This window comes from Homo sapiens, chromosome 7 (genome assembly GCF_000001405.40).
Source record: "Homo sapiens chromosome 7, GRCh38.p14 Primary Assembly".
Lineage (NCBI taxonomy): Eukaryota > Metazoa > Chordata > Mammalia > Primates > Hominidae > Homo > Homo sapiens.
The window spans coordinates 94,912,453-94,926,078 of NC_000007.14; the positions used below are offsets into that span (position 1 = coordinate 94,912,453).

A 13,626-nucleotide genomic window follows, 5' to 3' on the forward strand; every position below is an offset into this window, starting at 1 on the left:
GGTGGCAGAATGTGTAGTTTTAGACCACATTCTAGGGGCTTCTAGCTTACACAGTGTGTATATATGATAGACTTGGAATTTGATATATTCCTGTAAATTTTCTCCTCAAAATCTAAAATCACTGTCTGTTATTTTCATTTTGGGACCTTCCATATAAGGCTCTAAAATATAAATTTACATAGAAATATTTAAAGAGAAATCTGACATTGTTCTGATTATGAAATACTATTCTGAAATAAAGTAATAATCTATGAAATTATTTACAGATGTTAGCAGGCAGACTTTCATTTTATTAGTGTAAGGCAGAAGTTCTGGGTCAGAATGGGTCATGTTAAGTTAAACTGTAGTTTAAAATAAACTACAGATGTCAATTCAGTTTGAAAGTAAGTTTCTTTGCAGTGCTTTACCACCTTCCTTTGTGATTATCTCCTCCTGCCTTCCTATTCCTCCCCAACCCCCACTGCCCTACTCTAGATGGTCTTTAAAGGTGCCTTTCCCCCAAGCCTATCCAGTGAGCTCCTAAACTTTGCCATTCGCATCCCCCTTGAACATCATCTTTCTACCCTTTAGGAAGAAAGCAATAAGATTAAATCGTTTCACATTGAGAAAGGCAGGAATAACTGAAATGAACTCTTCAAGGAGTTGTTAAACCCAGTGACTAACTTTTTAATACAAGGGATAGCAGCTTATGAAAATTTATCAAGTAGACCACTACCCAGTCAACCAAGTGGGACACCAGCCTGTATTTGGGTCCTGTGCTGCACAAAACATAACTGTGCACTAGTTGGTTTAATGGATTTTAAAGGATTTATCATTGAAATGTGTCTGTTTATATGTGAACAAACCAGCTTTTTGGGAATGATATTTTGAAGTTCAACTAATTTGTGCTATGATTGCTTATAACAATAAGTATTTTGCCTCTTAATTTTCATATAATGACAATTTTATCTAGCAAATAATGAAACATTACCTACATTTAATGCATTTCATCAAGAATAAGATTTCTAAAACAAATTAGATCAAGCATAAGACTTGTGAAACAAAGATAATGTATTGCATTTGATTGGGCAGTTAACAGGACTTCTTGGAGTGGATTAAGTTTGCAAACAGAAGATTCATTCTTAGCCCTTTGTAATGAATAACACAATTACTCTTTCTTGCTGCTTCCATTGTTAAATATGCAAGTGGATTCACTTGGAAAATTTGAGAGCTGCTTTCTACTGGTCATGGTGGTGGCCATAGTGTTTAGGTTATTCTCCAATTAAGATTTTTTTTGCTGCAGAGGGTGGTAATACCTTATTAGATCCAATTAAAGTATTTATTGAAGGCTTATCATGTGTGTTCTCTCATGCTGTTAGCTGAAGAAGACACAAAAATCTGTAAGGTTACCCCTTTCCTCTGTGAGTTTGTAGAGTCAATTCTTAAACACATTGTATTTAAAATCCATAAAAAACAGTATAAAAAACTATGCCAAAATTTTTAATGTCCTGTGAGTCCTTTAGTGGCACTTGGTTGTACTAAATGCATATAGTGAAAGGGATTTGATAGATTATTTGGAAAGGAATACATGCAACCATTTTCTATCTGTGTTTCTTTATTCTTTTCATAAAACTTTATTTATGGAATGGGAAGTTGCAATTCCTAACCTCAGTCTTTTCCTTTGAAGCTTAAACATACTTCCTCTTAAAGAAGCAACAGGGAATGTATTCTTTAAATAAATGATTTTTAGAACTTTTACATTCTTTTCCTGGCTGTCACTTTATTCTGTACTAGGTTAAAAATTCCTAGCACCTTTAGTTTTTTGTTATAGATCTTATTTATCATCTTTGTATGTGTAATATTGTCCTCAGTGACTACTTCAGTTCTTTTTATAGATGTTTTACATAGATATTTCCATAAGATGTCTTAAATCTGGACTTAGAAAAACATCAGAATAATAGTTGATCTTTCCTGTGTAGCATATACCTTGTACTTGTACATATACCTTGATTTTTAAAAATGGTCAGACTGTATTGCCAGCCATCAGTTAGTATGACTTTCCTATCTTTCACAGACAGTTATTTCTTATTAGATAGATTGTTATGTTTCATAGGGTCATGAAATATTAGAATGGGATTAATAATAGCAAATTAAAATCCAACTTTGAGATATGGCATGGGAGAATGTTATGGACCATGCTAATTCGAGATGGAATTATGCCTTCATTTTCAGGAATTTTTCAAAATGAAAGGATTGAATTAAAGTAAATTTGTCTTAGATGAATCAAAACAAGAGAGGGTGACATGTCATTTTTTTCTACTAATTCAGAACATTTATGGAGCCCCTAATATGTGTCAGGGACAATGCAAATATAACAAATACAACAAATACATAAAATGAGGAGCTGATGAAGTAAGGAGCTGCTGGTCGGTGGGACGTGTACAGCCCATTAAGGAAGCTCTCAGGCTGTTCCCAACTCTGTGCTTTGATGATCTTTCTAAGGTTGCTGCAGCCTCATTAAGGAAGTCACAACCTTTCTCTGTTTCTTATGTCCTTTGGATTGGTATTTTTTTTTCCCCTCAAATACTATTGTGTTACAATGGATTGTTATTCTTGAAACAGCATATCTGAAAAAGATTTTTCTAACTCACAGTAAGAAGGATATTGCAGAGTTAATATTGAGGTACATTGTGCTATATTTTGTGTTTTCTCAAATCATATGGAGCTTTACAGGATTAGAATTCAAATAATCAGCAAGGGCACCAGAGCTTCTTCAAACCTTACATGATAGTTGTTGAAAATGGATCTTCTTGTATTCTCTCCCTTTTTGGGGGCTCCGAGTCATAGTTAGGGCATTCATGGATATATGAAGTTTTTTTGTTCAGGATGGTTTTCAGGGAATAGTTCTGTTGAGATCCAACTTTTTGTCTTTGCGGAGGCTTCCTTTATAACAGTTTTGTCAGTGCTTCTTAAACTTTAATATGCATATGAATCACTTGGGAGATCTTGTTAGCATCAAGATTCTGATTCAGTAGGTATTCTATGGGAAATTACCTTGATACAATGGTTGAGCTACAAGTACACCAGCAGGCAAGCTATCTCAGAGGTTATGGAATAGAAGACTCAGAAAACAAATTAAAATGCTTGAATCACATGATTTACCAAACCAGTTAAACACAAATCCAGAAGCAAGAGGAAAGCTATGGAGTAAGTTAACACACTTCAGGTTCAAACCAGGTTGGAAGGACCACGCTACCTGTCCTGGATAAACAATGTTCCTATGTCCCATCTTTCTTTCACATAACCCTTCCCCATTAATGATGTGGTTATGAGGACCAGAGCTGATGTTTGAGCCAAGACTCCATAGACTAATGATTTCCTGGGTCGATGATACACACTTGTTCTGTTGAAGAGATGTGACAAATACACTTAGGTACAGCCGTAGCTTTGCTAGTTTGCCTGCTGATGAGCCATGGGACCATCCTTGGTGTCTTCAGTAGATGACTGATATGGAAGTAATGTAGCTATCAGTCCAGGCATAATGGTGACTTGGTATTTCCACTGCTTTTTGTCTATAAGTAAATCTCATTCATTTTATCATAATTTCTATTTATTTTATTGTTGTCATGTCTTACTCCCAGCTTACCTATTTATTACGCATCTGCTGACTGCCTTCATTTCACCAGCTTGCATTCTCATTATCAATACTTGGCCCAGCCTGAGTGTTGCCTCTGTCTCATAAGTTGTTAGTTTATTTACCATCTATGATTATCACTTCTTAAGTGTTTCATCCATCCCATTAGTTTTGTTTACCTCTATAATAGAATTTCATATTCTGAAATAATACAGGAAAACCACGTTAACAGTATGTCTGGAGGGGAACCTTAGATTTTACATTTCTAACAAGCTCTCAAGTGGTGCCGATGCCGCTGATCAAGAGATCACTCTTTGGAATATGAATTTGAAGTACAATCTTCTGGCTTCTGAAAGTGGCTGGCCATAGCATGTTAGGGAAGCAACATGTAATAAATTTCCTTTCCAGATGGGCTGCTATATCTGGTTGGGTGGAATAATATTCTCTGAAGATGAAATAAGGTATAATCTTGTAAAGTGCATGAATACTCTGTTTCTGGATCCCAAAGTGGATTATTATCCTTAACTCAAGGCATTTGGGTCATTAAAAAGTCACATCCTAGGCTCTTTGTGTGGTTTAAGTTTTTAGTTATAAAAAGTTGGGAGGAAGAAGTTTTTAATGGAATCAGAAATTTCATTTCTTTCATTCTTTTGCAAGTGTAAATTAATAAACTTAGTATAAGAATGGTCATATGATTTAACTTGCTTTTCTTGGATAACTTTGATGGTACAACTTTTTTTTTGTTTGTTTTTTGTTTTTTGTTTTTTGAGAGGGAGCTTTGCTCTGTCACCCAGGTTGGAGTGCAGTGGCACGATCTCAGCTCACTGAAACCTCCACCTCCTGGGTTCAAGAGATTCTCAGGCCTCAGCCCTCTGAGTAGCTGGGACAACAGGCATGCACAACTATTCCAGACTAATTTTTATATTTTTAGTAGAGACAGGGTTTTTACCATGTTGGCCAGGCTAGTCTCGAACTCCTGACCTCAAGTGATCTGACCGCGTTGGCCTCCCAAAGTGCTGAGATTATAGGCGTGAACCACTGTGCCCAGCCGATGGTATAACATTTAAATTGGATTTCCTTTTAAATTTTTATGTTTTATGACCTATGCTTCATAACCAGGTAAATGAAATATGTCAAATATTTTAATATACTTTGTAAAATCAAATAATGAAGATTTGTTGAATGAACCCCTTTTCTAAAATCCAGAGGTATAGCTATACTTTTAAACTGAACAGTGATCATTTAGTGTTTAAAAAGGGATTCTTTTGACAGCAGATTATTTCAGATGTTTACTGGTATTTATTTGTAATAGAAATATTTAAAGTTTCTTGTTTTTTGTTAATTTAATTAATTTTTTTTGAGACAAGGTCTTGCTCTGTCACCCTGGCTGTAGTGCAGTGATGCAGTCATGGCTCACTGCAGCCCTGACCTCTGGGGCACAAGTAATTCTCCTGCCTCAGCCTCCCATGCAGCTAGGACTACAGGCAAGCGCCACCATGCCTGTTATTATTTTTTTTTTTTTTGTAGAGATGAAGTCTCACTATGTTGTCTAGGCTTGTCTTGAACTCCTGGGTTCAAGCGACCCTCCTGCCTTGGCCTCCCGAAGTGCTGAGATTAAAGGCATGAGCCACTGTGCCCAGCAGTTGCTTGCTTTTTGGATCATACATACTTTGTGTTCCCTCTAAACTTTCTCACAAATGACACTAATTGTTGGGTTCATGTACTTGAAAGATAAGATGCCAAATTTGGAGGAAAATCACTTTGTGTTATGTTATCCATGTGTCGTTTACCTTGTTAACCCAGTTAATATGCCCATTACAAGTAATTTGATTGAAATCTCATCTGCATTAGATTTTTTTCTAACACTTTCTCTACCACTTGAAAACAAGTTTAGGAATTTTCATAGAGAAATATAGTTAGATGTGGGATAAATTCTGTATAAACAAAACAAACATTACTATAGATTGTTGCTTTTTATGCTGTTATCTAATTTACCTGATATTTTTCTTGATTTTCTATGCTCTCATTTGGACCTATTTTCTTTTTGTTCTTTTGCTTCATTATATTCTATAGCTATGGTTTTGAAAAGGAAGAAAACTTTTCAAGTTATGCTTTATAGTTTTTCTTCTGGTCACTTTTACAGTTTTCTCCTGGTTCTCATCTCTTTAGTTTGTGACATAGACATTTAGAGATGAAATATACTTGAAGGTAATCTAGCGTCATTTCCCAGTCACTTCAGGAAGCCCTTCAGTAGCATACTCCTGACAGATGATGTTTCAGCTTCTGCTTGAATAATTCTACCGATGGAGAGTTTATTACTTTGGAAGGTAAAAGGAAAGTTAGAAGGAGGGGCATGCTGGTGTGTGTAGGGAGGTGGTGCACTCACTCTTCTTTTTATTTAATTTTAATTTGCAATTTTTTATTAAGATAAAATTCAGGTAACAAAGTTCACCACTTTGAAGTGCACAATTCAGTGGTTTTTAGTATATTCACAGTGTTGTGCAGCCATCACTTTTATCTGATTCTAGAACTTTTTCATCATCCTAGAAAGAGACCCTGTGTCTGTGAATTGTCATTCCCAATTCCCCTTCCTTCTTCATCCTCTGGAAAGCAGTAATTGACTTGCTTTTTCTGTAGACTTACTTCTGGACATTTCTTACAAATGCTTTTAAAAAAGAATATAGGAGACTTGAAGAAGAATATAGGAGTATGGCTTGGAATATATTAAATTTAAGATATCAAAAGGATAGCACACTACAGGAAAGTCTAGAGAGCAATGGCATAAAGAATTTTCTTCTGGTTGGTGATATGGTCTAAAAGTTAAGTGGCATGATGTGGGAGCAACAAATGCTATCTGCCATTTTATGTGTTTCATAGAGAGGAAGAACACATGAAGCTGAGGAGACAGTAGGATTCAAGAAGAATGAAATGTATAACTGAGGAAGAATAGGTTTATGTGGCTGAGAGGATGGCTGAACAACTCCCTTGCGTGGGACACCGCACTTCTCTTAATGTAATCTAAAATTGCTACACATGAAGCATGAGTGTTTGATTCAGCATAGGGTTTCTTTATTTCCTTTTAGAGACAGGGTCTTGCCCTGTTGCTCAGGCTGGAGTTCAGTGGCACGATCAAAGCTCACTGCAGCCTTGAACTCCTGCGCACAAGGGATCTTCCTGCCCCAGCCTCCCAAGTAGCTGGGACTACAGGTGTGTGCCACAGTGCCTGGATAATTACATTTTTTTTTTTTTTTTTTTTTTTTGTAGATTCAGGGTCTTGCTATATTGTCTAGGCTGGTCTTGAACTCCTGGGCTCAAGTGACCCTCTTGCCTCACCCTCCCAAAATGCTGGGATTGTAGGTGTGAGCCACCATGTCCTGCCAACATAGGGTTTCTTTAAAGGTACAAGTGGCATTGATGCTGAGTTTCATCTTTACATTGGTCTTTTTATAGCGTGAAGGAATCCTGTTCCTTTTCTAATAATCTGATGCTTATTTCTATCCTACTTCTCTTATATTGTCACTTTCCTTATTCTTTTACTTTGATTGGAATTGTTCACGGACAGCTTCACTACTTTAAAATTTTTTCTCATCCTTCAATATTTCGATATAGATTTCCTGTGCCTACATGCTATTATCTGTACTGTAACCATCTATAAGATGAGTGATTTGAAGCAGATATTTATTTAGTTTACTATGTATTGTCTGTTGGAGCATATTACTATATAGTCTATATTACTATTAAATATCATTAACTAGTAATAATAATGGTAACATCGAGAGGTACTTGATATTCTGTCAGGTTGGACAAGTGTGCCTCTTGAAGCCTTGAATTTCTTACCTGTAATTGAGGCTGTCTTACTTGTAATTTATCACTAAGATTGTTTCTCGGCTTTACCATCCTGTAATTCTCTGTGTCTTAAACATATTTGTACTATACCATAATCATAAATATTTGTGCTATGATTTCAAAGAGAAAATTCTGGACATCTTTTGTTGAAATATCAAAATGAAAAATTTATGTTAAATTGTTCTTGAGAACAATAATTCTATAGATTATAGTAGAAACCTTAAAATGAGTAAAATATTAAGTCCATGGGAGCACAATTTTATAGAGTGGATTTTTAGAGCAACTTGACTTTTGAAAGTATGGGTTTAACTATATGTTAAAACACCCTGCTGAGGAAACTAAGAATAAAGAAAGAAATGTTTTGTAATATAGTTGCTGACATATTAATTGCTTCACTCACTTTTGCTCTGGAAATAGCTTCATAGCACAGTTCAACATGATTGAAATATTGATAATTTTTTTTTTTTTTACAGTTCCCGGTTTTCAGCCTAACTTACTCTTTCTCATGCACATATCCTTACAAAGAAGACAGCGAAATACAGTATGAAGATATCAGGAAATTTTATATTTTAGGAGGAAAGTTTTGTTCTTTGCTTACTTAATCTATTTCATTGGTATTTTTAAAAAGTATTTGTGGAGTTAAAACTGTTCACCAAGTATTTATGGATAATGGTAAATGAAACTGCTCACAGATCTGTTAGTCTCCTGCCCTCTTTTATAAGTCAGATGAGTTTTGTGCCGGGGAAAGCTAATCTTCCAAGTTGTTTTCCATGCCAGTTGAAATATATAGGGCTAGATTCGGACATAGAGTGGTTGGCAAGGGTCAAAAAGGTGAATAGAGTCATGACCATGAAGGTTTCTTTACAGGAATAAGCAGTGAGAATCTTGCGGATTAGGTCTTTGGTATTTCTGTCTTGATGCCTTTGAACTGGCATGACCCTATGAAACTGAGTGACCTGCATGTTGAGTCTGTTGCTGTATAGTAAGATGGTCTTTTCTCTTTTATTCACCTCGGATTTCTCCTCCAAAAATTTCTTTTTACTCCTCCTCTTTTAAAAATATGTAAGTATACAGCCTCATGGAGGCTACATTCATATCAGAAAATTGTCTAATCTTCAATATAACAATCTTAAATAGTACTCACAGTCAGAGGTACCTTTTCAGGCTTGTGAAGAGTTTTCTTTTCATGGTTAGGGTCCACAGAGGAGAGGGAAAAGCAGGTTTATTGGTTAGTTTTTAAGATCTGTTTTTGAGGCCGGGCGCGGTGGCTCACGCCTGTAATTCCAACACTTTGGGAGGCTGTGGCGGGCGGATCACGAGGTCAGGAAATCGAGACCATCCTGGCGAACACTGTGAAAACCCCTCTCTACTAAAAATACAAAAAAATTAGCTGGGCGTGGTTGCGGGCGCCTGTAGTCCCAGCTACTCGGGAGGCTGAGGCAGGAGAATGGCGTGAACCCGGGAGGCGGAAGTTGCAGTGAGCTGAGAGGGCGCCACTGCACTCCAGCCTGGGCGACAGAGCTAGACTCCGGCTCAAAAAAAAAAAAAAAGATCTGTTTTTGAGTAGTGTTATTTTGATGGATTCCTTTACGAAGTACTTGTTTTGGGTAAAATTGATGTGCAAAATTGTTTTGTAAAGGAAGAGAAAGACATAAATTTGCACTTTTCATTGTTAATTGATATTATATATGTATAAAATTATTATTTTTTTAAATAACCCATTTCTCAGGGGGAAAGGCAAAACTTATTGTAGGATGTTTGAATGACACCTTATCTACCATTACCTAGAATGTGTTTATTTTTAGAAGTTTATTCTGTAGGTGGAATAATAAAATACAGTAATTTAAATTATACACCAGGTGTTATATAATATTCTATGTCCAGAGCATCTATTTCCTTTTAGAAATCTTATCATTGAGCACTGAGCACTAAAACAAACAAACCTGTAAGTAAGTCTTTTGAAAAATAAAGGCTGGCTGGAAGATTGAGGCTGCAGTGAGCTGTGATTGAGCCACCACACTCCAGCCTGGGCAACAGAGCAAGACCCTGTTTCAAAAAAGAAAAAGAAGGGCTGGGCCCGAAATCTATGATTTTCATATCTGTATTATATACAGTTTCTTGCTTAGCGTCTAGAATTACCTATTATTTAGGATAGATTCCTAAAAAAATATAATTTTATTAATTTATAATATTATTTATAATTTTATTAAATTATATTTAAATTAATTAAAAATAAAATTATTTTAAAGCCCTTTATATATAATTCAGAAAGGGTGAATTATATTGTTATTGCCGGAATTGTTATTCAGAAAGGGTGTATTAGTTTATAATCAGCACTGCATTGGAATAGTTTTCTCACAATCCCTGCGCCAGTACTTAGTTTTATTTATATGCTTTGTAGTTTTCAGTTTGGTAGGTGAAAATAACTGTTATAATTTCTACTTGATATATTGTTGAGATTGAAGATTTTTTATGTGCTTATAGGCTTTTTTGATATGACTTCTGAGTGGTTTTTATTACTTTCTAAATCAGTGTTTGTTAGTAAAGACTACATCAATGTGTTATTTAAATGAGTTGGTAAAAGTTAAAGCAACTCACATATCCAGTAATAGGGATATGGTTAAATTCATTACGATAAATGCATATAGTATAATAGGATAAAGCTGTATTACTCATGTTTTCTAAGATTACTTAAAGATGTAAATACTTCATAGTAAAAAGTCTGGTTAAATGCTGAATATGCATTTCTGTCATATTTTTACTTTAAAAATATGTGTATTTGCAGCTAGGACAAAGATTAAAAACACATACATCAAAATGTCAACTCTGGTAATTTCTGGATTGAGAGAACAGTGATAATGTTAAATGAATGTATACTTTTCTGAATTTACTTAATTTTCTACAATAAGCATGTATTACTTCTTTAATTACATTAAAAGATAGTGGTGGGACACAATTGGAATGATCAGCAATAACAACATAAGGAAGTTAACAAAAACACTTTTTAAAATGCTGCCCCAAATTCTAATAATTAGTCTTTTAATGTACTTTTATTTGGAGGACAACATGTCACAGAAAAAAAATTTGGTTTAATAGTGTAAATTTATGTAACACTGAAGAAGGTGTTACTTTAAGAAAATGGATGAACTTTTGACAGTTGAATTCATTAAGTGCATATTTCTTAAACCTTGGTAAAATTGATCCCACATTTGTGGCTAACCTTGTAAGTATTATGGGGAAGGAGACCCTCCAATTCATTTTAAATTGTGATTATATAGCATTTGCATAGGCCTGAGATGTTTTCCTTAAGTTCGACTATTGTGTATATGATATTCTAATGTGTTACTTAAAATATGCTTTCAAACACTGGGTATAATGAATTTGAAGTGAAACATATTTTAATGAGTAGTCTTACTAAAAATAATAAACATGTACTTAAAGGAAACTTAACCATTTTCCCATGTGGCATAATGTCTTTCTGATGTCTTAGATTATTGAGCCTCAACAGGCTTGCTCTCTGTGAAGGTGAGACAGTGGAGATGTCAAGTTCATTATCTTGCTTATATATAATCCTTTGAAAAAACTCATGTACACACCCAGTTAAAAATAGGATTTTGAGTTCTAGGCCTCCACAGAATCCATTTGAATATGTTTCCTGTCCTAAAACACCAGCCAATATGTGGTTTCCTGTTGTTCCTCTTAAAAAACATATTAGTTGAAAAGAGATTCATTTGATGTATGGTTAGACTATATGGTAGTATGTTATATTTTTAGTTAGAGTCAAAGGGTCAGTTCCTCTCATCTATTGGGTAATTTTCCACCTTTGAAAAGCTTTGGTAGATAATGTTGTAGTATATAAATGATGACAAACATATTTTTGTTGGGTGGCAGAGTTTTCTGAAATTGGAAGTTTAAATTATTGCTTTTTGTTTAATGAGATGAGCAGATTACTCTGATCTTACAGTTTTAAGCAGTTCTGGGATTTTATAAGTTCTGGTGAAGTCCTAATTAAATTGCCTTACAATATAATCTGGTGTTTGGATTATCACTTTTTGTTAAGTATTCTTAAACCTTACTACAATATGGTTGATAAATTCTGTTAATATTTTATTGTATACTGGGTTTCTAGTAGTGATATATAGATGATTGTATATAATTATAAGAACTATTTAAAGAAAAAGAGGCAACATTAACAGACAAACCATGTAAAATTTTGACTCTTTTCTATAAAATGGTTACACTGGAAAAAGAAAATTGGAGTTCAAGAAAAAAATAATTTCACTGGTTGTGATTTTGCATATTTATGTAAATTTGTGAATGATTTGAGGCAGTGATATCTTTTTTTAGTTAATCATGTACCCAATCAAGTTTGAGACGAGGCTTATGTTTTTCCATAGAGACTATGACACTTGTGGAATTTTTATCTTGCTGGCTCCTTCTCTGTATAACGAGTTCTGTGAGTAGTAGCATTAGTGAACTGGAGCTCCCTCAGGAGATTGTCCCATTTGCAGATGTGGCAATCAGAAGAGTTTTAGTTTGAGTTACTGGGTTTTGACTCTTATTACCTAATACAATTCTTTATTTATTTAGTTTTGAGATGGAGTCTAACTCTGACTGCATTATTAGCATTTTTTTGAGACGGAGTCTTGCTCTGTTGCCCAGGCTGGAGTGCTGTGGTGTGATCTCAGCTTACTGCAACTTCCGTCTCCCGAGTTCAAGCGATTCTCCCACCTCAGCCTCCTGAGTAGCTGGAATTACAGGCACGCACCACCATGCCTGGCTTAATTTTTCTTTTTTTCGTAGAGACGGGGTTTCACCATGTTGGCCAGGCTGGTCTCAAACTCCTGACCTCAGGTGATCTACCCACCTCGGCCTCCCAAAGTGCTGGGATTACAGGAGTGTGCCACTGCGTCTGGCCTACCAAACGAAATTCTTACTCTTAATCTAGAATGAGAACTATTGAGAGTTCATCCATTAGAACCCTTGAAGCCTGTCCCTCAGATGGTTGAAAGTCTGTAGCTGGAGGACGGTTGAAATAAACAGAATATTGATATGAAATATTTCTGAAGGTATCCTTTTTCCATATCCTATATTTAACTTAGCTGGCATATTAGAGTTGTCCAGAGAAACAGAACCAATAGGATGTGTATATATACAGAGAAAAATGTAAGGAGTTGGCTCACAGGATTATGGAGACTGGCAAGTCAAAAAGCTGCAGGGTGGGTTGGCAGGCTAGAGATTCAGGGAAGAGCTGACATTGCAGTTCAAGTATAAAAGCCTTTTGCTGGAAAATTTTTTTTTTGCTTGTGGGGGAGTCAGTCTGTTGTCCTATTCAGGCCTTCAACTGTTTCAATGAGGCCCACCCACATTATGGAAAGAAATGAGCTTTCCTCAAATTATATTTAAAAACACCCCCACAGAAACATCTAGAATAATGTTTGATTAGATATCTGCGCACCATGGCCCAGCCAAGTTGACTTATAAAATTAACCATCACGGTCAAGCTTTCTTGTTTTGATTGCCCCTTCTGAAGCTGTTTCGGGGAGGAAACTCATTTTTCCCCCCACATGTCTTAGTGGGGGAGTTGGTTCCTCTCTCCCTCTCATTCTTAGAAAATTTGCTGAAGGGATTCCCTCTGTTGGGCAGTGTGTTGTAGGAGAGGATTATATGTTTGGAATCAGACAGACCTGTATTCAGATCCTGCAGACACCTGATCTTTTAAGAAAGTTTGTTTAAATTTTGAGGGCAGGGAATTTGTTTTATGGTTGTGTCTCTAGGATTGTCACACCGCTTGGCACATTGTAGGTACACAGTTGGTGTTAATAACCTGTTATGTTCATCATCTCTGCCCTTTCTCCTTCCTCTTCTCCCCCTCCCCCCACCTGAAGGTCCAAGTTGGGATGATATTAATATTATTATTTTTATTATATTTCGAGACAAGGTCTTACTCTGTTGCCTAGGCTGGAGTGCAGTGACATGATCACAGCTCACTACAGCCTCGACCTCTGGGCTCAAGGGATTCTCCTGCCTTAGGCTCTTGAGTAGCTGGGATTACAGGCGTGCGCTGCCATGCCCAGCTAATTTTTTTTCCATTTTTGTAGAGACAGAGTCTCACTGTGTTTCTCAGGCTAGTCTGGAACTCCTGGGCTCAAGCGATCCTCCCACCT

At 35.9% G+C, this 13,626-nt stretch overlaps 1 protein-coding gene across 43 annotated transcripts in view; it reads left to right on the forward strand.

Moving 5' to 3' along the window:
- Positions 1-13,626, forward strand: part of PPP1R9A (protein phosphatase 1 regulatory subunit 9A) — a 389,180-nt gene that overhangs the window by 5,217 nt on the left and 370,337 nt on the right. The window lies entirely within an intron of this gene.